Consider the following 27,575-nt stretch of genomic DNA (forward strand, 5'->3'; position numbering starts at 1 on the left):
CAGAAAATCTTTTTTCCTAATAATGTCAAAATGTTTTAGCCCCTGGGCAGGAATTTATCACCCTTAGAATATTCCATTGAGGTCCTATTTGAGTAAAAGTTTTTTTAGTAAAATCAAACTATTTTAACAGGATAACTGTATTTTCAAAATGTAGTAAATGGTCAAAGAACAGAGAGACCAATCGAGGAAGGTAAACACAATTTTAAAACAAACCAGATTTAAGATGAATGATAGTATTTGCCACAGCAAATAAAATGGGAATTTGACCTTATGAAAAGAAGTGACATTTTTCCTGTAGCATAACAGAACTCAAGGAGTCTTCTCCAAAGGAGAAAAAAAAAAGGGGGGGCGGTTCCTCATCATCGTGTCTACAAAGACTGAAAGAAAAGTTTACCTGAAAATATCTACAAAATTCCAGAAAGATTCAATAGTAGGAAGCAAGGGGGCAAAGACTGTCACATACAGTTGTGCAGGTTGCATACTGCACAAGAGTGACACATCTAAGAGGGCACTGTTCACTTCAAAGACATTGTTAGGTTGTATATTCATTTTGACAATGTTTTGGGGACAACAGCAAAGGGCATTGTTTTAATAAAATCAGCATGACAATTTTCTGACAAATGGAAGTAAAATGTATTGAGGAAGGGGTGCCCGTTTCTAATTTGCATAAAGACTTCATGTGGGCTAGCTGTGTCCCAGATAAAGAAATGATGGTTAATAGATACAACACAATTCAGATGATTCCTTGGAACAAATTGCTGCATTGAATCAACTTTTCAACCCAATGCTTTGCACACAAGCACTCCATGAATGTTTATTAAATAAACAAAAAAACAGCAAAGTGATTGTCAGGCACAGTCCTCTCAGGTGATTAACAAGGATGTTACTGGAGACAGTGTCATGATTTCATTGCTATAGAAGCCAATTATCTCAGCACAGAGAAGAACTGGGAAACTTCAGATCTCACCCCTTCACCCAGGGAGAGCCGCATGTTTTCTCTCCCTCTTCCTCATACTCCAAGAACAAACTCCAAGATGACAGAACTGCAGGATGGCAACAGCCCTGATCACTTAGCCATGGCACAAAGGGAGCCTTCGATTTTTCATGATTAAGAAATCTTCATTATAACTGAGATTTCAGAGTTTATTTGTGACTGCAGCACAGACTAGTATTACTTAACTAATATGCTAAGGCAAGGAAATATGATCCAGCTTTTCCTTTCGATGTGATTTCCTCAGGTAGTCCACCCGCTCAGCCTCCTGTGACCTCCTGTATTCAGTAATGTTATGAGGGCAAGGGTGTGGGTAAGCAAGAGCAAAAACTCGATTCTCTTCCTTGGGCCTGGTATGGTAGCCCATGCCTGTAATCCCAGCACTCTGGGAGGCTGATGCAGGAGGATTGCTTAAGCTCAGGAGCTCAAGGCCAGCCTGGGCAACAGAGGGAGACCTCATCTCTACAAAAAAAAATAATTAGCTAGGTGTGGTGGCACATGCCTGTAGTCCCAGCTACTTGGAAGGCTGAGGTGAAAGGATTGCTTGGGCCTAGGAGGTTAAGGCTGCAGTGAGCAGAGATGGCACCACCCCACTATAACCTGGGCAACAGAGTGAGACCCTGTCTCAAAAAAAAAAAAAGAAAAAAAGAAAAAAGAAAACCAGCTCTTCCTCTCTACATCTTCATAACTGATGACTGAAGTCTTCTATGAGCACTCCACGTTTTCAGGCACTGTAATGGTTCCCTTCAAGGGTAATCCCAACTTCTTTAAACACTACTCTAAGATCCCTGAAATAATTTTACTAGCATCTGCTTAACTACAGAGAAAACAGCAGGCCCTTACAGCTTATTTGAAAAAGCACAGAATGAGCAGTCACAGATTTTAGTTTGAGTTTTGCAACTTCCTAGCCACAAAGTGGCTCTGAAAGTGAGTATCAGCAATAAAAAAGCATTTATCAGTGATAAAGAGCACAGCATCTTCTGTGAGCATCAGTGTCCTACTCTTCAAAAAGGATTACATTATGAAACAAGTGAAAACATTTTGAAACAGAACATATAAGCATAAACATTAACAACAAAAAAGCATCCATTCAAATTTCCCTAGGTATCCAGGGCTATGAGTCACCCAAACCCCTAAATGTCCTTCCAAATCCTAAGGTGAGCAAAAGTGTTCCCAATTAGACATTTAGGAATGTCTTTATGTGTATGTATTATGTTAAGCTATATGCACAAGGCTAATAAAATTTCAGCTTACATCTGTATGGCATTCTACAGTTTATTAAGTTCTTTCATATACATTAAATCATGGCAAAGCTGTGCATTTTATACGTTGAATGTATATTTTATAAAGCACTTGGGCCCTTTGGATAATCAATGTATGCACTATATGCATGCCCATTGTATGTAACAACGAGTATAATGCTATTATTTTAAATTATTACAGTGATGTAAATTGCTGTATCTTTACTTTTATAATATATTAGTAACCACATGTATGATTTATGTGATGCTGAGCACTTTGTCAGGAATAAAACCCCTAATTAAAACTAGACTCCTATGGGAAAATATGATTCGCTTTATAATGATTCACTTTACATTGGCTTCCAGATCATACAGCAACCCAAATCATGGTGTACCTGAGCATAGTTTGTGAAAATAATTATTAATCAGAGGGGAGTATAAAAACCTTTGGGAACTACCTCTGTGTTGTGAACTTTCCCCTATAGGATGTATGCCTTTTTATTTTAATAAGAAGTAAGATCATTTTACTTTAAAGGGACCAAAAAAAACAGCTATAGAATGAGTTATATTGGTCAAAATAGGGTATGACTGATCACTCCTATCATCTATCATTACTTGGAAAATGGCAAATATCCCACCTCCTTTTAATGGCATCATCTGAGAATGGCTCTGAGACTAGCAAATTAGTAAAACAAATACAATGATGCCAAAACAGAACATTCGATGCCTCTTTCTTTTCCTTCCCTATTGCTTTTAAGTGAAACTGAAGAGCAGGCTCCTACATCGGATACCAAGTGACTAATTCAATTAAGCTCAAACTGAAGTCCTGTTTTATATAGATATTAATACTGTCTGCATTGATGTTTATAAAAAGCTTTGAAATTTTTTAGGTATATTGATGTTATCTGAAGCCTAAGTGCTCAAATAGCCATAGTTACTAATGCAGATTTATCATAGAGAACTTCAAAAATATACATTTAATGTATACAGATGACCAATTCATACAGAGCATGAGCTAAAGGAAATTTACTTTTTTAGCCATTATGCACACACACACACACACACACACACCCATCTCGTGATACTTCATTCTTCAAATGTTTAGTACTTTCAGGCTTTTAAAAAAAAATAAACAACTCATAAGTTATATAATCACTAAAAGAGCTAAGAAGTGGAACATCAAATTCACTTCAGACCATGTTGAAATAAAGTCTTTAATCTGAACTGTGTCACTCCAAGTGGGTTCTCAGCATGTAGGTAGCAGGCAGCTTTTCATGGTGTACAACTTGAGGGACATGATAAGCTGTTTACCTGTCCAAGAGGAACTTCAACATCATGAGTGAAGTGGCCAACATTTCAGCCATTGCTCTTACAGATTGTAACCTTTGAGGACCAAGGGAGATGAGAGAAAAGGAATTAATTTTTTTTGAATATGCACCACATACAAAAGGAGTTTCTTTACCTATGCTATCTTACTTGAACCATAAAACTGCCTCTTGGCAGGTATTGCCACCTTTATTTTGCAAAGGAGAGAGAACAGATGTTCCAAAGGATTAAGCAACTGGCCCAATGCCACATAGGTACGCTCAGTGGCAGACTGAAGCTACATTTGATTTCGGTGCTGCCTACCCTGCGCACACCAAGCAGGAGTCATGGACTTTTTTTTTTTTTTTCCTAACAACTACCAAATAATCCACACCCTACTTCCTATAGCCTATAATGACCGGCATTTAAAAGCAAGAAAATCAAGATATTCAAAGGGTATAACAAACGCTCCCAGTTAAAATGGCAACCTCAGAGAGAGCCAGTCAACACACATTAACTCATGACAATGGGACAATTTTACAGATTTGACTTGCTTGTTGCTGAGAACTCTGTCAGAAAATTAAACCCCTAATTAGAACTAAATTCCTAGCAGGACACCGTGGCTTATGCCTATAATCCCAGAACTTTGGGAGGCCAAGGTAGGAGAATTGCTTGAACCTCAGAGGTTGAGGCTGCAGTGAGCCATGTTTGCACCACTACACTCAAGCCTGGGTGACAAATATGATTTGCTTTACAACAGAGGTCCCCAACCCCTGGGCCATGGACCAGTACCGATCCGTAGCCTGTTAGGAACCAGGCTGCACAGCAGAAGGTGAGTGGCAGGCGAGCAAGTGAAGCTTCATCTGTATTTACAGCCACTCCCCATTGCTCACATTACCACCTGAGCTCTGCCTCTTGTCAGATCAGCAGCATCATAGGAGTGCAAACCCTATCAGTGAACTGCGCATGCAAGCGATCTAGGTTGTGTGCTCCTTATGAGAACCTAATGCCTGATGATGTGTCACTGTCTCCATCATCCCTAGAATGGGACCACCTTGTTGCAAGAAAACAAGCTCAGGGCTCCCATTGATTCTACATTACAGTGAGTTGTATAATTATTATATATTACAATATAATAATGATAGAACTAAAGTGCACAAGGCGGGGCATGGTGACTCACATCTGTAATCTCAGCACTTTGGGAGGCCAAGGCAGGTGGATCACCTGAGGTCAGGAGTTCAAGACCAGCCTGGCCAACATAGTGAAACCCTGTCTCTACCAAAAACACAAAAACTAGACATGCAAGGTGGTGCATGCCTGTAATCCCAGCTGCTCGAGAGGCTGAGCCATGAGAATCACTTGAACCTGGGAGGCAGAGGTCATAGTGAGCCAAGATTGCACCACTACACTCCTCCAGCCTGGGTGACAGAGCGAGACTCACACATGCACACTTATGTTTACTGCAGCACTATTCACAAAAGCAAAAACTGGGAACCAACCCAAATGTCCATCAATGACAGACTGGATTAAGAAAATGCATCACATATACACCATGGAATACTATGCAGCCATAAAAAAGGATGAGTTCATGTCCTTTGCAGGGACATGGATGAAGCTGGAAACCATCATTCTGAGCAAACTATCACAAGGACAGAAAACCAAACACCGTACATTCTCATTCATAGGTGGGAATTGAACAATGAGAACACCTAGACACAGGACAGGGAACATCACACCCTGGGGCTTGTCGCGGAGTGGGGGAAAGGGGGAGGGATAGCATTAGGAGAAATACCTAATGTAAATGATGAGTTAATGGGTGAAGCAAACCAACATGGCACATGTATACCTATGTACCAAACCTGCACATTGTGCACATGTACCCTAGAACTTAAAGTACAATTTAAAAAAATTAAAATAAAAAAGTGCACAATAAATGTAATGTACTTGAATCATCCCCAAACCATCTCCTACCCCCACCTGCCAGTCCACAGAAAAATTGGCTTCCACAAAACCATTCCCTGGTGCCAGAAAGTTGGAGGACTGCTGCTTTACACTAAGATTTTGAGACCTTTGGCTACCAAACCCTGCTTGAAGAGGCGTCTGTAAAAACTCAAGAGACTGCTAAGTTTAAAAGTGTTCCAGGAATGAGCAAGTCAGAGTCTATGAATGATAACATTGAATGAATGCTATTTTTTAAGGTCTATCCCAAAATGCCAGGCACGATTTAATCCTCAGAACCCCCCAATGAGATAGGTGTGATTTGTCACAACATCCCATTCTATAGATAAGGGAAATCAGGCTGAAAAGATTTATAAAGTTGCCTATTCCCCACTACATATCACTTTCCTGGGGCTGCCATAACAAAGTCTCAGAAACTGAGTGGTTGAACCAGAAGTTTATTGGCTTACAGTTCTAGGGGCTAGAAGTCAAAAATCAAGGTGTCAGTTCCTGTGAGTGCTGTGGGTGAAATTCTGCTCCATGTGTTGCTCTGAGCTTCTGAGAGGCTCAGGTGTTCCTTGGCTTGTAGCTGGGATTCTCCCTGTGTCTTCACATTGTCTTCCCTCTGTCCATGTCTGTCTTAGTGTCCAAATTTTCTCTTTTAATAAGGATGCTACTCATGCTGGATTAGGGCCCACGCTAATGAGCTCATGGTACCTCAACTACCTCTGTAAAGACTCTTTACCAAATAAGATCATATTTGGAGGCTGGAGCATTAGGACTTCAAAATCTTTTGAGGTGGCACAATTCAATCCATAACACACAGCTAGGAAGTGGTCAGGTTGCAAGCAGTTAACCACTACTCTCCAAACCTGGCACCTCCTCAGGGAGGCCAAAGTGAAGGGCAGAGGAACTCCAAGTGAGAGAGTTTGGAGACAGACGTTGGCACATTGGAAGAAGAAAGAATGAGGGAGATGACTACGATCTCATGAGTGTGTATATTCTAATGACTTAAGAGCTATTTTTTTTTTTTAGACAAAGTTTAGCTCTTGTTGCCCAGGCTGGAGTGCAATGGCATGATCTCAGCTCACCGCAACCTCCACCTCCCAGATTCAAGCAATTCTCCTGCCTCTACCTCCTGGGTTCAAGTGATTCTCCTGCCTCAGCCTCCAGAATAGCTAGGATTACAAGCATGCACCACCACACCCAGGTAATTTTATATTTTTAGTAGAGACAGGGTTTCTCCATGTTGGTCAGGCTGGTCTTGAACTCCCAGCCTCAGGTGATCTGCCCACCTAGGCCTTCCAAAGTGCTGAGATTACTGGTGTGGGCCACCATGCCCAGCCAGAACAATTTTTTTTTTTTTTACTTTAAGTTCTGGGATATATGTGCAGAGTGTACAGGTATGTTACATAGGTATACACGTGTCATGGTGGTTTGTTGCACCTATCAACACGTCATCTAGGTTTTAAGCCCCGCATGCATTAGGTATTTGTCCTAATGCTCTCCCTCCCCTTGCCCCCCACCCCCAGATAGGCCCCGATGTGTGTTGTTACCCTCCCTGTGTCCATGTGTTCTCATTAAGAACATATTAAACAATTACCTCTCACATCTGTTGAGGGCTCATCCATGATCATGCTTGCTATGTGGCCAGCACTGCGCTAATCCTGCAGAAGCTACAGGACTCAGCCTCAGCCTCTGCCTTCAGTCAGCTTTCCTTCTTATGGCTCAGCCAGTTTGGAGGGTGAGAAGGTGCAGACATGTCCCATGTAATCACCAGAGTGAAAGACGTCGCATCAAAGACTGTACAGGAGAGGTACAAGTTACAGTGCACTGAAAACACAGAGGAGCACAGCTTTTATTTCCATTCCAGATGGCTTCAAGAGAGAACAGGCTCTGCTGTGGGTAGGATTTCAACAGAAAGGGGGTATAAGGTAAGAATGTAGAAGGCAAGGCGAACCAACAGTCATCAAGACCTTCATATGGAGACCCTAGGCTGGGGGGTTCTCATGTAAGCTACCATATTACCATATTCAATCCTTAAAGTCACCCTATGCCATCAATATCATCCCCAATTTACAAGAGAAGCAGCTAAAACTTGGGAAATTCCAGGGAGGGGGATAAGTCCAGAATCCTAACCCCCAACTCAGCTGAAATACCAAAGGTCTTGGTAGCACATAACTCAGGTACCTGGCTTTCAAGAGGTTGAAAAGAAAGGCGAACCTACAAAATGAGTTAAACCAAATCAACTTATCATTTCTGACACTAAAACAATGCCAAAGTATGGCCCAGAATGAAAAAATTAGAGAATCCTTTTATCAAAAAATATCAAGTCTGTTCAAATTTACTGCACTAAAATAAAACAGGTTACTGTAGCCAAAAATACAGGAAAAATTCAGACAGGTGTCAAGCAGTCATGTTTAAAAAATGGAAGTGATCATGCCACCAGCAAGGGTAGCTATGCCTATGTGGGTGTGTTTGTGTACGTGTGTTTTTACATGTACATTTTCTCCCTTAAGCCACTGAAACCTTAGGAAAATTTTATGACGACAATGTGCCATGTACGTAAAAGATGGATGGGTTAAAGTTACTGTTTTCTTAGGATCTGTCCGGCATTTGACAGCCATGCACCAGTGCACTATCTGGAAAGATTTAGGACTTTTGCTGTAAAATTATTTATTAGTTGTTATTTATACTACGTGCTCACTGGTAGACCACCCAGTGTTGTAACAATAAAAGCAGTCACGCTGCATCTCTCCAAAACAAGCAAAAGACCAAGGGGGCTGTTTCTGGGTGTCACCACTGAAGGATGTGGCTTCCGGCAGGGAAGTATGTTCAATGTTTTGAAGGTGCTGCAATCCTAACAGAGACCCCGGGAAATGGAAACCGCCTGGGCTCAGCAGGAGCACTCTGCTCGGGTAAGCAGTCCTCCTCTCCCGGCCTTAGTTGTCACCTACAAAAGGAAGGGCTGCCCCCAAAGTCCCTAAGATCCCTTCCCCTCTGAATTCTAGATTGTAAAAGACTGAAAGCTATTAGCAGTTCCACACTAACCCCCAGGATGCAATCTGGGGCTAATCTCAGTGCCTGGGGGCCTCAGGATCTGACAGGCTGCCAGCATCTCCTCTACATCCCAATTGGACCTGTTAGTGAGCTAACAAGACATGTTTGAACATTCTTAAAGGCCTCAAAAGAAAAGCTCCTTGTGCAATGTTTAACTTTATTAAATATGTCAAGGTTGTGGTTCCATTAGACCATCCAGGAAGAGACTGAGTTTTTCTTTTTGAAATGCACAAAATAACTATAAAATGTCACACTTCTACTACTTATGCTTATTTAAGTAAATAAGCACCAAAAATAAATTAACTAATAAAACAAGATTCTCCCTCCCTTTTCTCCCCCCAAAAATACCTTTGGGGATTTGTAATTATTTCCCTGTCTAAAAACCTAACCTAATGCAGACATGTCAATATCCTCTTCTTAAGTACACAGGATTATTCCATATTAATCCTCTCCTTTCTAGCGATCAGTATCTATCTCTCTCTCAGGCTGAAGCTGGCATCAGCCAGTCTCACTTGTGGGATAATTAATTCAGGGAACTTTCCAGAGGTCTTAGGTCAGCCTCCTAATTTTTCCAAGGCTGAAGTAGCCCAAAGCGGTTAAAAAGTTATCCGTCCAACCAAGGTCACCTAGGCTTACTGTCTGAAGTAGAATTTGTGATTCCAAGCCCTGCTCCTCTCCCACTAAAGAAGAATGTTCTCCTAGCTTGCAAGAAAGAACACAAGGGGATGCTGCTGCTATTCCCTTTTTTAAGCCTTACTCCTGTTTATGATTCCTAAACCTGGCTGCATCCCAGTCACTTCCAGGGACAAAGTCCCCAAGCCTGATGAATCTATTCACAGAATCTACAGTTTTTTCAAAGTCCCCACAAATAATTCAGGTTTAGAAACCACTGCACATTCATACCAAACACAAAAATAAAGAAAATAAAAACACAATATAGAGAACTTTAATAATTTTTTTCCTTTCCAAAAGTTTTATTATATAAGCTGGGTGTGGTGGCTTTTGCCTGTAATCCCAGCATTTTGGGAGGCCACATTGGGAGGATCACTTGAGGTCAGGAGTTTGAGACCAGCCTGGCCAACGTGGTGAAACCCCATCTTACCAAAAATACAACAACTAGCTGGAAGTGGTGGTGTACGCCTGTAATCCCAGCTATTCGGGAGGCTGGGGCAGGAGAATCGCTTGAATCCAGGAGGTGGAGGTTGCAGTGACCCAAGATCATGCCACAGCACTCCAATCTCAGCAACAAGAGTGAAACTACATCTCAAAAAAAAAAAAAGAAAAGAAAGTTTTATTATATAAATGTCCAAACATATTCAAAAGTAGAAATCATTTAATGAATCCCCAAATAAGTATCATCCATTCCTCACAATTATCCAGATGTTGCCACACTTGCTTTATCAATCCCCTTTTCTTCTTCGCTGCAGTATTTTAAAGTAAGTCCCAGAAATCATCCTTATATACAGCCATCCACCACTTAATGACAGGGATACATTCTGAGAAATGCATCATTAGGCAATTTCGTCATTGTGCAAACATCTCAGAGTTTACTTATGCAAACCTTGATGGTGCAACCTACTATAAACCTAGGCTATATGGTATAACCTATTGCTCCTAGGCTGTAAGCCTGTACAGCATGTGACTACACTGATTACTGTAGGCAATTATGTATCTAAGCATACAAAACGTGCAGTGAAAATACAGTATTAAATCTTATGGAACCATCATCATATATTCAGTCTTTTGTTAACCAAAATGTTCTTATGCAGCACATGACTGTACTTCAATATGCATCTCTACAAAAAAAGCATTTGGTAAAATTCAACATCCTTTCTCGACAAAAAAAACACTCACTAAACTAGAAATAGAAACGTCATAACATGATAAAGGCCACGGATGAAAAACTCACAGTGAACATCATACTTAATGATGAAAAACTGAAAACTTTTTCCCTAAGATCAGAAACAAGATAAGGATCCCCACATATATAACTTCTATTCAACATAGTATTTAAAGCTCTAGCCAGAGAAATGAGGCAAGAAAAAAAACATAGTAAAAGGCATCCAATTGGAAAGGAAGAGGTAAAATTATCTCAGTTCACAAATGACATGATCTCATATGTAAAACCCAAAAAAAAAATCTAGGCAAATTTAGGAGGCACTTCCAAGATGGCCGAATAGGAACAGCTCTGGTCTACAGCTCCCAGCGAGACTGACGCAGAAGATGGGTGATTTCTGCATTTCCAACTGAATTACCTGGTTCATCTCATTGGGAATGGTTGGACAGTGGGTGCCGCCCACAGAGGATGAGCCAAAGCAGGGCAGGGCATTGCCTCACCCAGGAAGAACAAGGGGTTGGGGGATTTCCCTTTCCTAACCAAGGGAAGCCATGAGTGACTATACCTGGAGGAACCGTACACTCCTGCCCAAGTACTGCACTTTTCCCACAGTCTTCACAACCAGCAGACCAGGACATTCCCTCCTGTGCCTGGCTAGACAGGTCACATGCCCACAGAGCCTTCTCACTGCTAGCGCAGCAGTATGAGATCAACCTGGGATGCTGGAGTGTGGTAAGAGGAGGGGCATCTGCCATTGCTGAGGCTTGAGTAGGTAGTTCCATGCTCACAGTGTAAACAAAGAGGCAGGAAAGCTCAAACTGGGCAGAGCCCACCACAGCTTAACAAGGCCTACTGCCTCTCTAGATTCCACCTCTGGGGGCAGGGCATATCTGAACAAAAGGAAGTAGAGAGCTTCTACAGGCTTAAATGTCCCTGCCAGATAGTTCTGAAGACAGCAGTGGTTCTCCCAGCATGGCATTCAAGCTCTGATAACGGACAGACTGCTTCCTTAAGTGGGTCCCTGACCCCCATGTAGCCTGACTGGGAGACACTTCCCAGTAGGGGCTGACAGATACTTCATACAGGTGGGTGCCGATCAAGGATGAAGCTTCCAGAGGAAGGTTCAGTCAGCAATATTTGCTGTTCTGAAGCCTCTGCTGGTGATACAAGGCAAACAAGTTCTGGAGTGGACTTCCAGCAAACTCCAACAGACATGCAGCTGAGGGGCCTGTCTGTTAGAAGGAAAACCAACAGAAAGGAATAGCATCAACATCAACAAAAAGGACATCCACACCAAAACCCCATCTGTAGGTCACCAACATCAAAGACCAAAGGTAGATAAAACCTCTAACATGGAGAGAAACCAGAGCAGAAAGGCTGAAAATTCCAAAAACCAGAATGCCCTTTCTCCTCCAAAGGAACACAACTCCTCACCAGGGAACAAAACTGGATGGAGAATGACTTTGACAAGTTGACAAAAGTAGGCTTCAGAAGGTTGGTAATAACAAACTTCTCCCAGCTAAAGGAGTATGTTCTAAACCATCACAAGGAAGCTAAAAACCTTGAAAAAAGGTTAGATGAATGGCTAACTAGAATAACCTATGTAGAGAAGAGCTTAAATGACCTCGTGGATCTGAAAACCACAGTAAGAGAACTGCATGAAGCATACACAAGCCTCAATAGCCAATTTGATCAAGCAGAAGAAAGAATATCAGCAATTAAAGATCAAATTAATCAAATAAAGTGAGAAGACAAGATTAGAGAAAAAAGAGTGAAAAGAAATGAACAAAGCCTCCAAGAAATTTGGGACTATGTGAAAAGACCAAATCTATGTCTGATTGGTGTACCTGAAAGTGATGGGGAGAATGGAACCAAGTTAGAAAACACTCTTCGGGATATTATCCAGAAGAACTTTCCCAACCTAGCAAGACAGGCCAACATTCAAATTCAGGAAGTACACAGAACACCACAAAGATACTCCATGAGAAGAGCAACCCCAAACACGTAATTGTCAGATTCACCAAGGTTGAAATGAAGGAAAAAATGTTAAGGGCACCCAGAGAGAAAGGTCAGGTTACCCACAAAGGGAAGCCCATTAGACTAACAGCAGATATCTCTGCAGAAACCCTACAAGCCAGAAAAAGGGGCCATTATTCAACATTCTTAAAGACATGTTCAACCTGCAACTTCATATCCAGCCAAACTAACCTTAATAAGTGAAGGAGAAATAAAATCCTTTACAGAAAGCAAATGCTGAGAGATTTTGTCACCACCAGGCCTGCCTTACAAGAGCTCCTGAAGGAAGCACTAAATACAGAAAGGAACAACCAGTACCAGCCACTGCAAAAACATGCCAAATGGTAAAGACCACTGATGCTATGAAGAAACTGCATCAATTAATGTGCAAAATAACCAGCTAGCATCATAATGACATGATCAAATTCACACATAACAATATGAACCTTAAATGTAAATGGGCTAAATGCTCCAATTAAAAGACACAGACTGGCAAATTGGATAAAGAGTCAAGACCTACCTGTGTGCTGTATTCAGGAAACCCATCTTAGGTGGAAAGACACACACAGGCTTAAAATAAAGGGATGGAGCCGTCTGGGATCTGAGGAGTGCCTCTGCCCAGCGACCGCCCTGTCTGGGATGTGAGGAGTGCCTCTGCCTGGCCACTGCCCCGGCTGGCAAGTGACGAGTGCCTCTGCCTGGCTGCCCCACCATCGGTGAAGTGAGGAGCACCTCCGCCCAGCCGCCCCACCATCTGGGAAGTGAGGAGCGCCTCCACCCGGCTGCCCCACCATCTGGCAAGTGAGGAGCACCTCTGCCCGGCCGCCCCACCATCTGGGAAGTGAGGAGGCCTCTGCCCGGCCGCCACACCGTCTGGGAAGTGAGGAGCGCCGCTGCCTGGCCGCCACACCATCTGGGAAGTGAGGAGCGCCTCTGCCTGGCTGTCCCACCATCTGGGAAGTGAAGAGCCCCTCTGCCCGGCCGCCACACCGTCTGGGAAGTGAGGAGCGCCTCTGCCCGGCCGCCACACCATCTGGAGAGTGAGGAGCACCTCTGCCCAGCTGTCCCACTGTCTGGGAAGTGAGGAGCGCCTCTGCCCGGCCGCCACACCATCTGGAGAGTGAGGAGCACCTCTGCCCGGCTGTCCCACTGTCTGGGAAGTGAGGAGCGCCTCTGCCCAGCCGCCACAACATCTGGGAAGTGAGGAGTGCCTCTACCCAGCCGCCCCACCATCTGGGAAGTGAGGAGCGCCTCTGCCCGGCCGCCACAACATCTGGGAAGTGAGGAGTGCCTCTACCCAGCCGCCCCACCATCTGGGAAGTGAGGAGCACCTCTGCCCGGCTGTCCCACTGTCTGGGAAGTGAGGAGCGCCTCTGCCCAGCCGCCACAACATCTGGGAAGTGAGGAGTGCCTCTACCCAGCCGCCCCACCATCTGGGAAGTGAGGAGCACCTCTGTCCGGCTGTCCCACTGTCTGGGAAGTGAGGAGCACCTCTGCCTGGCCGCCACCCTGTCTGGGAAGTGAGGAGCGCCTCCACCCGGTCGCCCAAATGACTGGGAAGTGAGGAGCGCCTCTGCCCGGCCACCCAACTGACTGGGACGTGAGGAGCGCCTCTGCCCAGCCGCCCCACCCTCTGGGAAGTGAGGAGCGCCTCTGCCCAGCCACCACCCTGTCTGGGAAGTGAGGAGCCCCTCTGCCCGGCCACCCAACTGACTGGGAAGTGAGGAGCGCCTCCACCTGGCCGCCCACAGTCTGGGAAGTGAGGAATGCCTCTGCCAGGCCGCCCCACCGTCTGGGATGTGAGGAGTGCCTCTGCCCGCCCACTGCCCTGTCTGGGAAGTGAGGGGTGCCTCTGCACAGCTGCCCCCCTCTAGGAAATGAGGAGCACCTCTGCCCATACGCCCCACCATCTGGGAAGAGAGAAGCACCTCTGCCCAGCCACTGTGCAACCCTCCAAGTGTGAAGTGACAGCCTTGTGTGTGATCCTTCTGCCCTCCCCAAGTTTGCATTTTTGATATTAAAGTTTACTTTTTAATTAAAAAAATAAAAATAAAAAAATTAAAGGAATGGAGGAAGATCTACCAAGCAAATGGAAAGCAAAAAAAAGCAGGGGTTGCAATCCTGGTCTCTGATAAAACAGACTTTAAACCAACAAAGATCAAAAGAGACAAAGAAGGCCATTACATAATGCTAAAGGGATCAATTCAACAACAGCAGCTAACTATCCTAAATATATATGCACCCAATACAGGAGCACCCAGATTCATAAAGCAAGTTCTTAGAGATCTACAAAGACACTTAGACTCCCACACAATAATAATGGAAGACTTTAACACCCCACTGTCAATATTAGACAGATCAACGAGATCTGTCTAATTAACAAGGATATCTGGGACTTGAACTCAGCTCTGGACCAAGCAGACCTAATAGACATCTACAGAACTCTCCAACCCAAATCAACAGAATATACATTCTTCTCAGCATTACATCACACTTATTCTAAACTTGACCACATAGTTGGAAGTAAAGCACTCCTGGGCAAATGTAAAAGAACAGAAATCACAACAAACTGTCTCTCAGACCACAGTGCAATCAAATTAGAACTCAGGATTAAGAAACTCACTCAAAACTGCACAACTACATGGAAACTGAACAACCTGCTCCTGAATGGCTACTGGGTACATAACGAAATGAAGGCAGAAATAAAGATGTTCTTTGAAGCCAGGTGCGGTGGCTCACACCTGTAATCCCAGCACTTTGGGAGGTTGAAGCAGGTGGATCATGAGGTCCAGAGATTGAGACCATCCTGGCTACCACAGTGAAACCCCGTCTCTACTAAAAACACAAAAAATTAGCCAGGTGTGGTGGCGGGCACCTGTAGTCCCAGCTACTCGGGAGGCTGAGGCAGGAGAATGGCATGAACCCGGGAGGCGGAGCTTGCACTGAGCCGAGATCGCGCATTGCACTCTAGCCTGGGCAACAGAGCAAGACTCCGTCAAAAAAAAAAAAAAAGATGTTCTTTGAAACCAATGAGAACAAAGACACAACGTACCAGAATATCTGAGACACATTTAAAGCAGTGTGTAGAAGGAAATTTATAACACTAAATGCCCATAAGAGAAAGCATGAAAGATCTAAAATCGGCACCCTAACATCACAATTAAAAGAACTAGGGAAGCAAGAGCAAACAAATTCAAAAGCTAGCAAAGGCAAGAAATAACTAAAATCAGAGCAGAAATGAAGGAGATAGAGACACAAAAAACCCTTCAAAAAAATCAATGAATCCAGGAGCTGGTTTTTTGGAAAGATCAACAAAACAGATAGCCCACTAGCCAGACTAATAAAGAAGAAAAGAGAGAAGAGTCAAATAGACGCAATAAAAAATGATAAAGGGGATATCACCACTGATCCCACAGAAATACAAACTACCATCAGAGAATACTATAAACACCTCTAAACAAATAAACTATAAAGTCTGGAAGAAATCGATAAATTCCTGGACACACATACCCTCCCAAGACTAAACCAGGAAGAAGTTGAATCTCTGCATAGACCAATAACAGGTTCTGAAATTGAGGCAGTAATAGCCTACCAACCAAAAAAAAAGTCCAGGACCAGATGGATTCACAGCCGAATTCTACCAGAGGTACAAAGAGGAGCTGGTACCATTCCTTCTGAAACTATTTCAAACAACAGAAAAAGAGGGACTCCTCTCTCACTCTTTCTATGAGGCCAGCATCATCCTGATACCAAAGCCTGGCAGAGACACAACAAAAAAAGAGAATTTTAGGCCAATATCCCTGATGAACATCGATGCAAAAATTCTCAATAAAATACTGGCAAACCAAATCCAGCAGCACATCAAATGCTTATCCACCACAATCAAGTCAGCTTCATCCCTGGGATACAAGGCTGGTTCAACATAGGCAAATTAATAAATGCAATCCATCACATGAACAGAACCAAAGACAAAAACCACATGATTATCTCAATAGATGCAGAAAAGGCCTTCAATAAAATTCAACACCCCTTCATGCTAAAAACTCTCAATAAACTAGGTACTGATGGAATGTATCTCAAAATAGTAAGAGCTATTTATGACAAACCCACAGCCAATATCATACTAACTGGGCAAAAACTGGAAGCATTCCCTTTGAAAACTGGCACAAGACAAGGATGCCTTCTCTCACCACTCCTATTCAGCATAGTATTGGAAGTTCTGCTGGGGCAATCAGGCAAGAGAAAGAAATAAAAGGTATTCAATTAAGCAAAGACGAAGTCAAATTGTCTCTATTTGCATATGACATGACTATATATTTAGAAAACCCCATCATCTCAGCCCAAAATCTCCTTAAGCTGATAAGCAACTTCAGCAAAGTCTCAGGACACAAAATCAATGTGCAAAAATCACAAGCATTCCTATACACAAAGAACAGACAAACAGAGAGCCAAATCATGAGTGAACTCCCATTCACTATTACTACAAAGAGAATAAAATACCTAGGAATCCAACTTACAAGGGATGTAAAGGACCTCTTCAAGGAGAACTACAAACCACTGCTCAACGAAATAAAAGAGGACACAAACAAACGGAAGAATATTCCATGCGCATGGATAGGAAGAATCAATATTGTGAAAATGGCCATACTGCCCAAAGTAATTTACAGATTCAATGCTATCCCCATCAAGCTACCATTGACTTTCTTCACAGAATTGGAAAAAACTACTTTAAAGCTCATATGGAACCAAAAAAGAGCCCACATAGCCAAGACTATCCTAAGCAAAAAGAACAAAGCTGGAGGCATCATGCTACCTGACTTCAAACTAAACTGCAAGGCTACAATAACCAAAACAGCATGGTACTTGTACCAAAACAGACATATAGACAAATGGAATAGAACAGAGGCCTCAGAAATAACACTACACATCTACAACCATCTGGTCTTTGACAAACCTGACAAAAATAAGCAATGGGGAAAAGATTCCCTATTTAATAAATGGTGCTGGGAAAACTGGCTAGCCATATGTAGAAAGCTAAAACTGGACTCCTTCCTTACACCTTAAACAAAAATTGACTCAAGATGGCCTAAAGACTTAAACGTAAGACCTAAAACCATAAAAACCCTAGAAGAAAACCTAGGCAATATCATTCAGGACATAGGCAAGGGCAAAGACTTCATGACTAAAACACCAAAAGCAATGGCAACAAAAGCCAAAATAGACAAATGGGACCTAATTAAACTAAAGAGCTTCTGCAAAGCAAAAGAAACTACCATCACAGTTGGCAACCCACAGAATGGGAGAAAAATTTTGCAATCTATCCATCTAACAAAGGACTTATATCCAGAATCCACAAAGAACTTAAATTTACAACAAAAAAAACAACCCCATCAAAAAGCAGGCAAAGGCTATGAACAGACACTCCTCAAAAGAAGATATTTATGCAGCCAACAGACATATGAAAAAATGCTCATCATCACTGGTCATTAGAGAAATGCAAATCAAAACCACAACGAGATACCATCTCATGTCAGTTAGAATGGTGTTCATTAAAAAGTCAGGAAACAACAGTTGCTGGAGAGGATGTGGAGAAATAGGAATGCTTTTACACTGTTGGTGGGAATGTAAATTAGTTCAACCATTGTGGAAGACAGTGTGGTGATTCCTCAAGGTTCTAGAACTTGCAATCCTGTTACTGGGTATATAACCAAAGGATTATAAATCATGCTACTATAAAGACACATGCACATATATGTTTATTGCGGCACTATTCACAATAGCAAAGACTTGGAACCAACCCAAATGTCCATCAATAATAGACTGGATAAAGAAAATGTGACACATATACACCATGGAATACTATGCAGCCATAAAAAAGGATGACTTCATGTCTTTTTCATGGACATGGATGAAGCTGGAAACCATCATTCTTAGCAAACTATCACAAGGACGGAAAACCAAACACCACAACTTCTCACTCACAAGTGGGAGTTGAACAATGAGAACACTTGGACACAGGGCGGGGAACATCACACCCTGGGGGCCTGTTGTGGAGTAGGGGGCAAGGGGAGGGATAGCGCTGGGAGAAATACCTAATGTAAACGATGAGTTGATGGGTGCAGCAGACCAACATGGCACATGTGTATCTATGTAGCAAACCTGCACATTGTGCACATGTACGCTAGAACTTAGAGTAAAATAATAATAAAAAGAAATGCAAATTTAACATGAAAAAAATTCTAAAAACTCTTTGAACTAATAAATGAACCCAGGAAAGAGGTGCAGGGTACAAAACCAACACACTAAAATCAGTTGAATTTCTGCACACTAACAATGACAATCTGAAAATAAACAATTTCATTTACAATAATGTCAAAAAGAATGGAACACTTAGGAATAAATTTAACCAAGGAAGTGAAAGACTTTCACATTCAAAAAACTACAAGACATTGCTGAAAGAAATTAAAGAAGACAAATAAATGGATAGACACCCCATGTTGATGGACTGGAAGTCTTAATACTGTTAAAATGACAATATTACCCAAAGTGATCTACAGATTCAATCAAGCCCTATCAAAATCTGTGGCCTTTTTGGCAGAAAATCCTATTCTGAAGTTCATATTGAATCTCAAGGGACCCAAAACAGCTGAAATAATCTTGGAGAAAAAAAAAATGACCAAGTATAAAGACCCACACTTCCTGATTTCAAAACTGATTACAAAGCTATGTAATCAAAACAGTATGATACTAGCATAAGGACAGACATATAGACCAGTGGTATAGAATAGAGCCCAGAAATAAACCCTCACATATATGGTTAAGTGAGTTTTCAACAAAGGTATCAAGACTATTCAATGTGGGAAGGACAGCCTTTTTTAACAAATGGCACAGGAAAAGTTGGATATCCACACACAGAAGAATGAAGTGGGACCCTTACCTAACACCACATACAAAAACTAACTCAAAATGGATCAAAGACCTAAGCATAAGAACTAAAACTATACAAACGCTGAGAAGAAAACATAGGGAAAAATCATGACATTGGATTTGGCAATGATTTCTTGGCTATGACATCAAAAGCACAAAACCAAAGAAAAATAAATTGGTCTTCATCGAAATTAGAAACTTCTGTGTAAACAACGCTATCAAGACAGTGAAAAGGTAAGCTACAGGCTGGGAAAAAATTTGCAGATCTGATAAGGGATTAATATCCAGAATATGTAAGAATTCCTACAACCCATGAAAAACAAAATCAATTTTAAAATGGCAAAAACAAAAAAAACAAACAAACAACCCACCTTGAGTAGACATCTCTCCAAAGGAGATATACAAACGGCAAAAAGGACATGAAAAGATTTTCAGTATCACTAGTCATTAGGATAAATGCAAATCACAATCACAATCAAATACCACTTCACAACCATTTGGATGGTTATTATTTTAAAAAAGAAAGAGAAATGTTGGCAAGGCTGTAGAAAAATTAGAATCCTAGTGCGTTGCTGGTGGGAATGTAAGATGGCGTAGTCTCTGTGCAAAACAGTATGATGGTTTCTCAAAAAGTTAAACATAGAATTACCCTATGATCCACCAATTCGACTTTCAGGTATGTATCCAAAAGAACTGAAAGCAGGGACTGAAACAGATACCTGTAGACCAATCGCAGAAGCATTATTCCAATAGCCAGAAGTAGAAACAACTCAAATGTCCATCAACAGATAAATGGATAAACAAAATGTGGTGGTAAACACATACAACAGATTATTCGGTCTTAAAAAGAAATAAAATTTGGATGCATGCTACAACATGAGTGAACCTTAGAGACAAATTGCTAAGTGAAATAAGCCGGTCACAACAGAACAAATATTGTATGTCTCCACTTACGAGGTACCTGCAATAGGCAAATTCACAGACAGTAAGTACAATAAAGGACACCAGGGCAGGATGGGAGGGAGGGGTAATGGGAAGTTATTTTTGTTTAAACAAGTACAGAGTTTGGGATGATGAAAAAGTTCTGGAAACAAATAGTGGTAACAGCTGCACAACATTGTCAATGTTTTGATATCACAGAATTGTACATTTTTAAACTGGTTAAAATGAGGCCAGGTGTGGTGGCTCATGCCTATAATCCTAGCCCTCTGGGAGGCTGAGGCAGGAGTATCACTTGAGGTCAAGCGTTCAAGACCAGCCTGGCCAAATGGTGAAACCCCGTCTCTACTAAAAATACAAAAATTAGCCAGGTGTGGTGATGTGCACCTGTAACCCCAGTTACTCGGGAGGCTGATGCAGGACAATCACGTGAACCCGGGAGGCAAAGGATGCAGTGAGATGAGATTGCACCACTGCACTCCAGCCTGGGTAACACAGTGAGACTCCATCTCAAAAATAAAAATAAAAAAAATAGACCAGGTGCTGTGGCTCATGCCTGTAATCCCAGCACTTTGGGAGGCCGAGGCGGGTGGATCATGAGGTCAAGAGATCGAGACCATCCTGGCCAACATGGTGAAACCCCATCTCTACTAAAAATACAAAAATTAACTGGGCGTTTTGGTGCACGCCTGTAGTCCCAGCTACTCGGGAGGCTGAGGCAGGAAAATCGCTTGAACCCGGGAGGCAGAGGTTGCAGTGAGCTGAGATCGTGCCACTGCACTCCAGCCTGGTCAAAGAGCAGAACTCCATCTCAAAAAAAAATGAAAAAATAAACTGGTTAAAATGTTAAATTTTAAGTTACATATTTTATCACATTTAAAAAAACAAAGAAGTTCAACTTTTTAAAATACGGACTTTTTGGATCTAGCAATATATCTTTAAACACTTTAGAATCTGTGACCTGAAAACTAAGTCTGACTCCCTTCTTTTAGAAGTTTAGATTCTCCTTCCCTCTGTGCCATTCCAGAGTTTTACCCTAGGTAACCAACTTCTGTTTAGAACAGCAAAACATTACTTTCTTTTCTTAGGACTCATTTCTACAATCACCATCTAAAATCAGGAGTCAACAAACTATGGCCTTAGAGCCAAATTCAGCTTGCTACCTGTTTTTCTACAGCTTGCTACCTGTTTTTCTACAGCTTATGAGCTAAGAATAATTTTTACATTTTAAAATAGTTGAAAAATTAACAGGGATATTTCACGACACGTGAAAATTGTATGTAATTTCCATTTCAAGGTAATAAATTAAGTTTCATTGGAACACAGCATGCCTGTTCTTTTATGTATTGTCTATGGCTACTTTTGTACTACAAAGACAGAGTTGAATAGTCACAACACAAGGGATACAGTCTGCAAGTCCTCAAACATTTACTACCAGGTCTTTTTTTTTTTTTTTGGAGACAGGGTCTCTGTCACCCAGTCTGGAGTACAGTGGCACCGTCTCAGCTCACTGTAGCATTGACCTCCCAGGCTTAAGCCATCCACTCACCTCAGCCTCCCAAGTAGCTGGGAGCTGGGACTACAGGTGCATGCCATCACACCTGGCTAATTTTTGTATTTTTAGTAGAGAGGGGGTTTCACCATGTTGCCCAGGCTGGTGATCTTGAACTCCTAAGCTCAAGCGATCTGCCCACTTTGGCCTCTCAAAGTGCTGGGATTACAGGCCTGAGCCACCATGCCCAGCCTACCTGGTCCTTTATAGAAAAAGATTGCTGATTTCTGATCTAAATTATCAACTCAGTAAAGGACGAAATGCAGTGTCAAATTCCACTGAACTTCCCTTTGAGCTAACCACTCAGTTGTTATTTTTAAAGATCCAAGCAATAGGGCCATTCTCAGATTGAACTGACCTTTACTTTCACAAATCAAAATGGCAATTTCTGGAAGGAGCAGAAAGCTATTTTGAAGCCCATGGTAAGAAATTGAGGGTGAACAGGGGAGGAGAGAGGCTTGCCATATTTGAAGAGTTGAGTGATTGAGGCAGAAAATGCTAGATACCTACCCGAATATTTATCTTCCTCTTTTTCCTTAGCAAAACAATCCCCAAATAACTGTGCCAGCTGTAAAGTCTTCTATAATACTTCTGTGAGGTCTCCTTAAAGTGTGTGCATGTGCTGTCATACTAACCCCACTCAGCCCGACTATGACGACACTGGATAAGAAACAGGACAAATCAGAAAGGAGAAGGAGGGGACCCCCAGCCACTGCAGGGGACTTTTTCCAAGGGCAGGTCCAGGAGCAACTGTGTCTGGCAAACATACCTGTTCTCTGGGAGCCCTTTTCAGCATGCATGCAACTTAGCAACTCAGCGAGGGGAAAGCTGATCACAGCACCGGAAGTTCATTAATCACCAAATTGAAAGCAATTGATCATCTGGCTAATTGATGGGTCAGTTTAGTCCAAATTCATTCATATATGCAGCAAACTATTATTTCCAAAAATGTCTAGTTCGCTTTCAAATAAACAAATATAATTTATTTTAATCAGTACCCCCACACAGCAACAGCAGACAGAATTAAATCTGTCTTGCCTATAATTTTCCTCCCCTGTGTTCATGGAATAAAAACTATGCAAACAAGATTGGGCTAAAACTATTTTCTGTATTTTTAGAGTAAAAAAAAATCTTCACATTGTTTTTCAAATCTGCCAAATTTAAAAAAAAAATTTAATCCCAGCAGAGCTAAGAAAGGTAAAAAGGGAGTTTCAAAACTAAGTCACCCCAACCATCACAGCAGAAAATTTTCCAAGCTGAGGTTAATTTTTAAGCATGGGGAGTCCTGCCACTTCTGTGATTGCAGCTCCAGTTGAAACTAAAAACTCAACTAGGAATACCCGGAGATATAGCCATGATGATATAAACAGCTCAAAAAGAAGCCCCCAAGTTATAAGACGTGGCAAAAAGGGGGAAGCTGCAGATGCTTTTTGGGCTCTGGGCAAACTCCCGAGACCCCAGGTGGAAACTGTGAAGTAATAGAAACAATTTGGTATTTAAATCTGTGCAGAGAGGAGTACACAGAATGAAATGGAACAAGCATCAGGGAAAATTGAGATTTCTTGTGGTGTTATTCCCCAAGTGGAAGCACTCTGCCTACTAAAACAGCTGTGAGAAATCCTGACCTGCTTACACTCTTTCATTACCAAAGCCAGTCAGATTTTCCTTTACTCATGCAATTTCCATCACCTCAAAAAGAATATTCACCGTCTAAAGAGGTGAAGTCCATTAAAGTTTTGGGGTTTTCTTTTTTTTTTTTTGAGACAAGGTCTTGCTCTGTCACCCAGGCTAAAGTGCAGTGGCACCATCTCTGCTCACTGCAACCTCCGCCTCCTGGACTCAAGCTATCTTTCCACCTCAGCTTCCCAGGTACCAGGAACTACAGGTGCATACCACCACATCTGGCTAATTTTTTTGTATTTTTTGTAGAGACAGGGTTTCGCCATGTTGCTCAGGCTGATCTCGAACTTCTGGGCTCAAGGGATCCACCAGCCTTGGCCTCCCAAAGTGCTGGGATTTCAGGCGTGAGCCACTTTGCCTGGCCTACATTTTTAATCTAAAAAAAAACAACAACAACAACAAAAACACCTTATATAAAAGTTGAAACCTAGTAAGGTTTATTTTCACTTATCTGCACCTTACCCTTCCCAGGACGTTCTAAAACTCCTCAGGCAACCAGTGCCACGTGCAGTAGAGGGGTGGCCCTGGCACATGGTCATGGCCACATTTTTAGGGCTGGAACCCACATTTCCTGCATGCTTCTGAATCAGTCTTTCCATCAAGCTCCCTTCTGATGGGAAATAAAAGATAATCCAGGGGCTATTTGCTGTTTCTTTACACACCTCTGGTCCTACTAAACAAATATCCCATGTAACCAGGTTCCATATTTCTAGGAAAAAAAAAAAAGAAACCCTATAGTCTTTTAGAACCTGGCCAAGAATGTTAGGAGCAGAAAGATCCTGACCACCCGAAACAGTGAAGTTGTCCCAAAGCCCTTTCTTGTTAGTCCTGGTAAAGGCCCTTCTGTACTCTTTACTTGTTTATATAGAAATATATTATTTGGCTAGCTGACTCTCCAGAATAGAAGCAACTTATTTTAAAAACGGGTTAAAAAAGACAATTACAGGCAGGTAAGCTTATCAAAGAAATCAAGAAGGTATACAACAGTATTCTAGGAAATTTTCTTTCAATGTGATTACCAGGGGCAGTGAGGAGGGGAAACCTTTCCTTTCTCAATAGGACCACATAAAGGAAACCTTTTATTAGACCCAATTACTATAATTACCACCAAATATTGAACATTTAGCTATATGCCAGGCTGTACATTAAGTGCTTGACATACATTACCTGGTACAATCTCTTCAATATCCCCATTTTACACATCAGGGAACTAAGGCCCAGAAAGGTTTTTAAAAGTTCACATCTGTCTAACTCCAGAGTCTCTAACCTCTTCACTACACTACAGTATCCTGCATTGCTTTCTAATTGTTTTATGTAGATGTTTCAGTTGCATAGATTTTAAATTCCCTAAAAAAGTAAAAGTTAAGTATTCTACTTACCCTAATAGCACCCTAAACCTAAGCCAAGTTCAGAGCACTAAAAAGGCTTTTAAATACATGCGTGACTGAACTTCAGTATCAAATAACTCATTTTCTGACTGTCCCATTTCTCCAAATCCTATCAAACTACCTGCTGAGGCATTTGAGCCCATTGCCACTTTCTAACGAGGGAGGCAAGAATGGGCACAACCCCACAGTGTCACTAAACACTCATGCCCTGCTTCATCTCTTGCACTGGGAACCCCAAGGCCATAGATGACTTAAACAAAACATGGCTGAAAGAGACACGCCCGATGCACATGCAGATTGTCCCCTAAATTGAGCACATGAATAAAACTTACCCAAAGTTTTCATAAGCATCCAAGTTTCTTGTGTGCCCAGAGCTAAACCCTAAATTGTAGGGCCCAAGGCTAAGTCAACATCCTATCGGCAAATTGGTGGAAAGTAGGGTCAAAACTAGGATTTGGATAGATGGGTAGATACACCGACTCAGTATTAGTTTTACCTAATGGAATATGGCTATGTTATTCAACCCAAACTGATGGAAAAAATTACCAGTTTTAACAACCAAATCCAGTTTTTAAATAACACAAAATCTAAGTATGCCAATTACGAACCACTTCAGCTCTTTCTTCCTCCCTCCTCTTCTTTCTCAAATTCCATATTCTTACTAAACCATTTCAATTTTACCATTATTAAGCATAGATTTTTTTTTTTTTTTGAGATGGAGTCTCATTCTGTCGCCAGGCTAGAGTGCAGTGGCACAATCTCAGGTCACTGCAACCTCTGCCTCCCAGGTTCAAGCAATTCTCCTGCCTCAGCCTCCCAAGTAGCTGGGACTACAGGCGCAGGTCACCATGCCCGGCCAATTTTTGTATTTTTAGTAGAGACGGGGTTTCACCATGTTGGCCAGGATGGTCTCGATCTCTTGACCTCATGATCCGCCCACCTTGGCCTCCCAAAGTGCTGGAATTACAGGCGTGAGCCACCACGCCCGGCAAGGATAGATTTTTTTTAATGAGAGAGGAAAAAAGATGAGGCATATAGATGTTTGTTTTCTTTTGACCAAAGGCAAATAAAGAGAAGAAAAACTAGAGAAAATAAGATTTAGAGCCTTTTTCTCTCATCTATACCACTTACCATCTGGGGGTTAAGAGCTAGTTTTACTTTCTGAAACCTCTGCAATCTCTTTAGGGACAGTTAGAGGCGCTAGGGCGCCTCACCCCTAATCCTCCCCAAATCCTTAGGTCTGAATTATTAAAATAATCTGTAATAGACAACTGTAAATAGGACCTAGAGTGAAAAATGCTACATGTGAATGTAATCAACTTTGTGGTGTTGGTATATCTAAAGATATGTCAATGTGGCACGAACCATATGGGGGACGGTGGGCACAGAGTTAGATGGGCAACTCTAGCAAGGTACCTACAAGCACTGTCTGGATAAGGAGGCCTGGCAGAGGGGCTCAACCCACCCAGTCCCTAATCTCAGAAGGATACATCAGAACGTGCAAATGGCAGCAGTCCCCTTGCTTAGAACTCAGACAAGCAACCTGTGATTATATTTTGGCTTACTTTTAATTTTTCTAAACAGAAAGTATACTCTGACCAGCAAAAATGAGTTTCTAGGCACTCTCAGTAGATCTGTCTCATTCTAAATAAATTGGCATTTCAGTTTACACAGCAGTCTGTATTAGCCAGGTTAATATTAAGGGAGGCGCTGCGGAGCTCAGGGGGCTGCTCTCTCAGGGTGCTGACAGAAATCAAGATTCTGCACCAACAAAAAGCACCATCAAGTAATGCTAGGCTGTGAGGTTGTTTCTATAGGTCACGCTTTTCTCTAGAAACAACCCTGCCTCATCAGGCCTCTGCCAACCTTTCACAACCTCCACCTAGGCTGAAGGTGGCTCCAGAAGCTACACACAGGCACCTCTTGCATGCCTTTTCATCAAACTGGCCTTCCAGATAGATCCTGGAGGGGAACCACACCAAAAAAAAAAGGAATTTGTGAAAGACTAAATACACTTGATCTTAGCCAAAAGGCCGAGAAGCGATGAAAGACTAAATAACAGCACAAGGCATAAGGCATAAGGCATGGCAATTCAGCACACGAAATGCAGGTGGGTGCCTAAAGATCTTCACCACTGCGGGGGTAACAAAGCCAGGCTATAATAGCAGATTTTGCAACGCCAGTCCCTTTTACTTTCTTAGAGATTAGATTGCCCTCTTGTGGGAAATAGGAGGGGAAAGTTTCACAGTATTTCCCCTTACCTTTTTCCATGATGGCTATAGATAGAACACATCCTGTCTCAGGGCAAGAGCTGACCATTACCATTTAGGAATGCAGTCACAATACTGTCACGTCTTTTGGTATTTCAGAAGAAACTAAAAGTACGGATTTTTTTTTTTTTTTTTTTTTTTTGAGACAGAGTCTGGCTCTGTCACCCAGGCTGGAATGCAGTGGTACAATCTCCGCTCACTGCAACCTCTGCCTCCCGGGTTCAAGTGATTCTCCTGCCTCAGCTTCCCAAGTAGCTGGAATTACAGGCGTGCATCACCATGCCTGGCTAATTTTTGTATTTTTAGTGGAAACGGGTTTTCACCATGTTGGCCAGGCTGGTCTTGAACTCCTGACCTCAGGTGATCCACCCGCCTCGGCCTCCCAAAGTGTTAGGATTACAGGTGTGAGGCGCCACGCCCAGCCCAGATAT

General features: G+C 42.2%; 1 protein-coding gene across 9 annotated transcripts in view; it reads right to left on the minus strand.

The window, feature by feature from the left end:
• SAXO1 (stabilizer of axonemal microtubules 1) overlaps window positions 1-27,575 on the minus strand; it is a 121,690-nt gene that overhangs the window by 58,629 nt on the left and 35,486 nt on the right. For 2 of the 9 annotated variants that reach the window (XM_011517745.3, XM_011517746.3), the window contains exons 2-3: window positions 7,079-7,278; window positions 3,544-3,615 (exon numbers count right to left, since the gene is read on the minus strand). The exons of 4 other annotated variants lie outside the window; for them this stretch is intronic. In XM_011517745.3, the coding sequence (XP_011516047.1) occupies window positions 3,544-3,596 (53 nt within the window). In that variant the 5' untranslated portion in view covers window positions 3,597-3,615; window positions 7,079-7,278. Of the gene's footprint in view, window positions 1-3,543; window positions 3,616-7,078; window positions 7,309-27,575 lie in introns of all 9 variants that reach the window. 3 more of the 9 variants (XM_024447428.2, XM_011517744.2, XM_047422843.1) reach the window with 2 other exon arrangements.

This window comes from Homo sapiens, chromosome 9, assembly GCF_000001405.40.
Source record: "Homo sapiens chromosome 9, GRCh38.p14 Primary Assembly".
Classification (NCBI taxonomy): domain Eukaryota; kingdom Metazoa; phylum Chordata; class Mammalia; order Primates; family Hominidae; genus Homo; species Homo sapiens.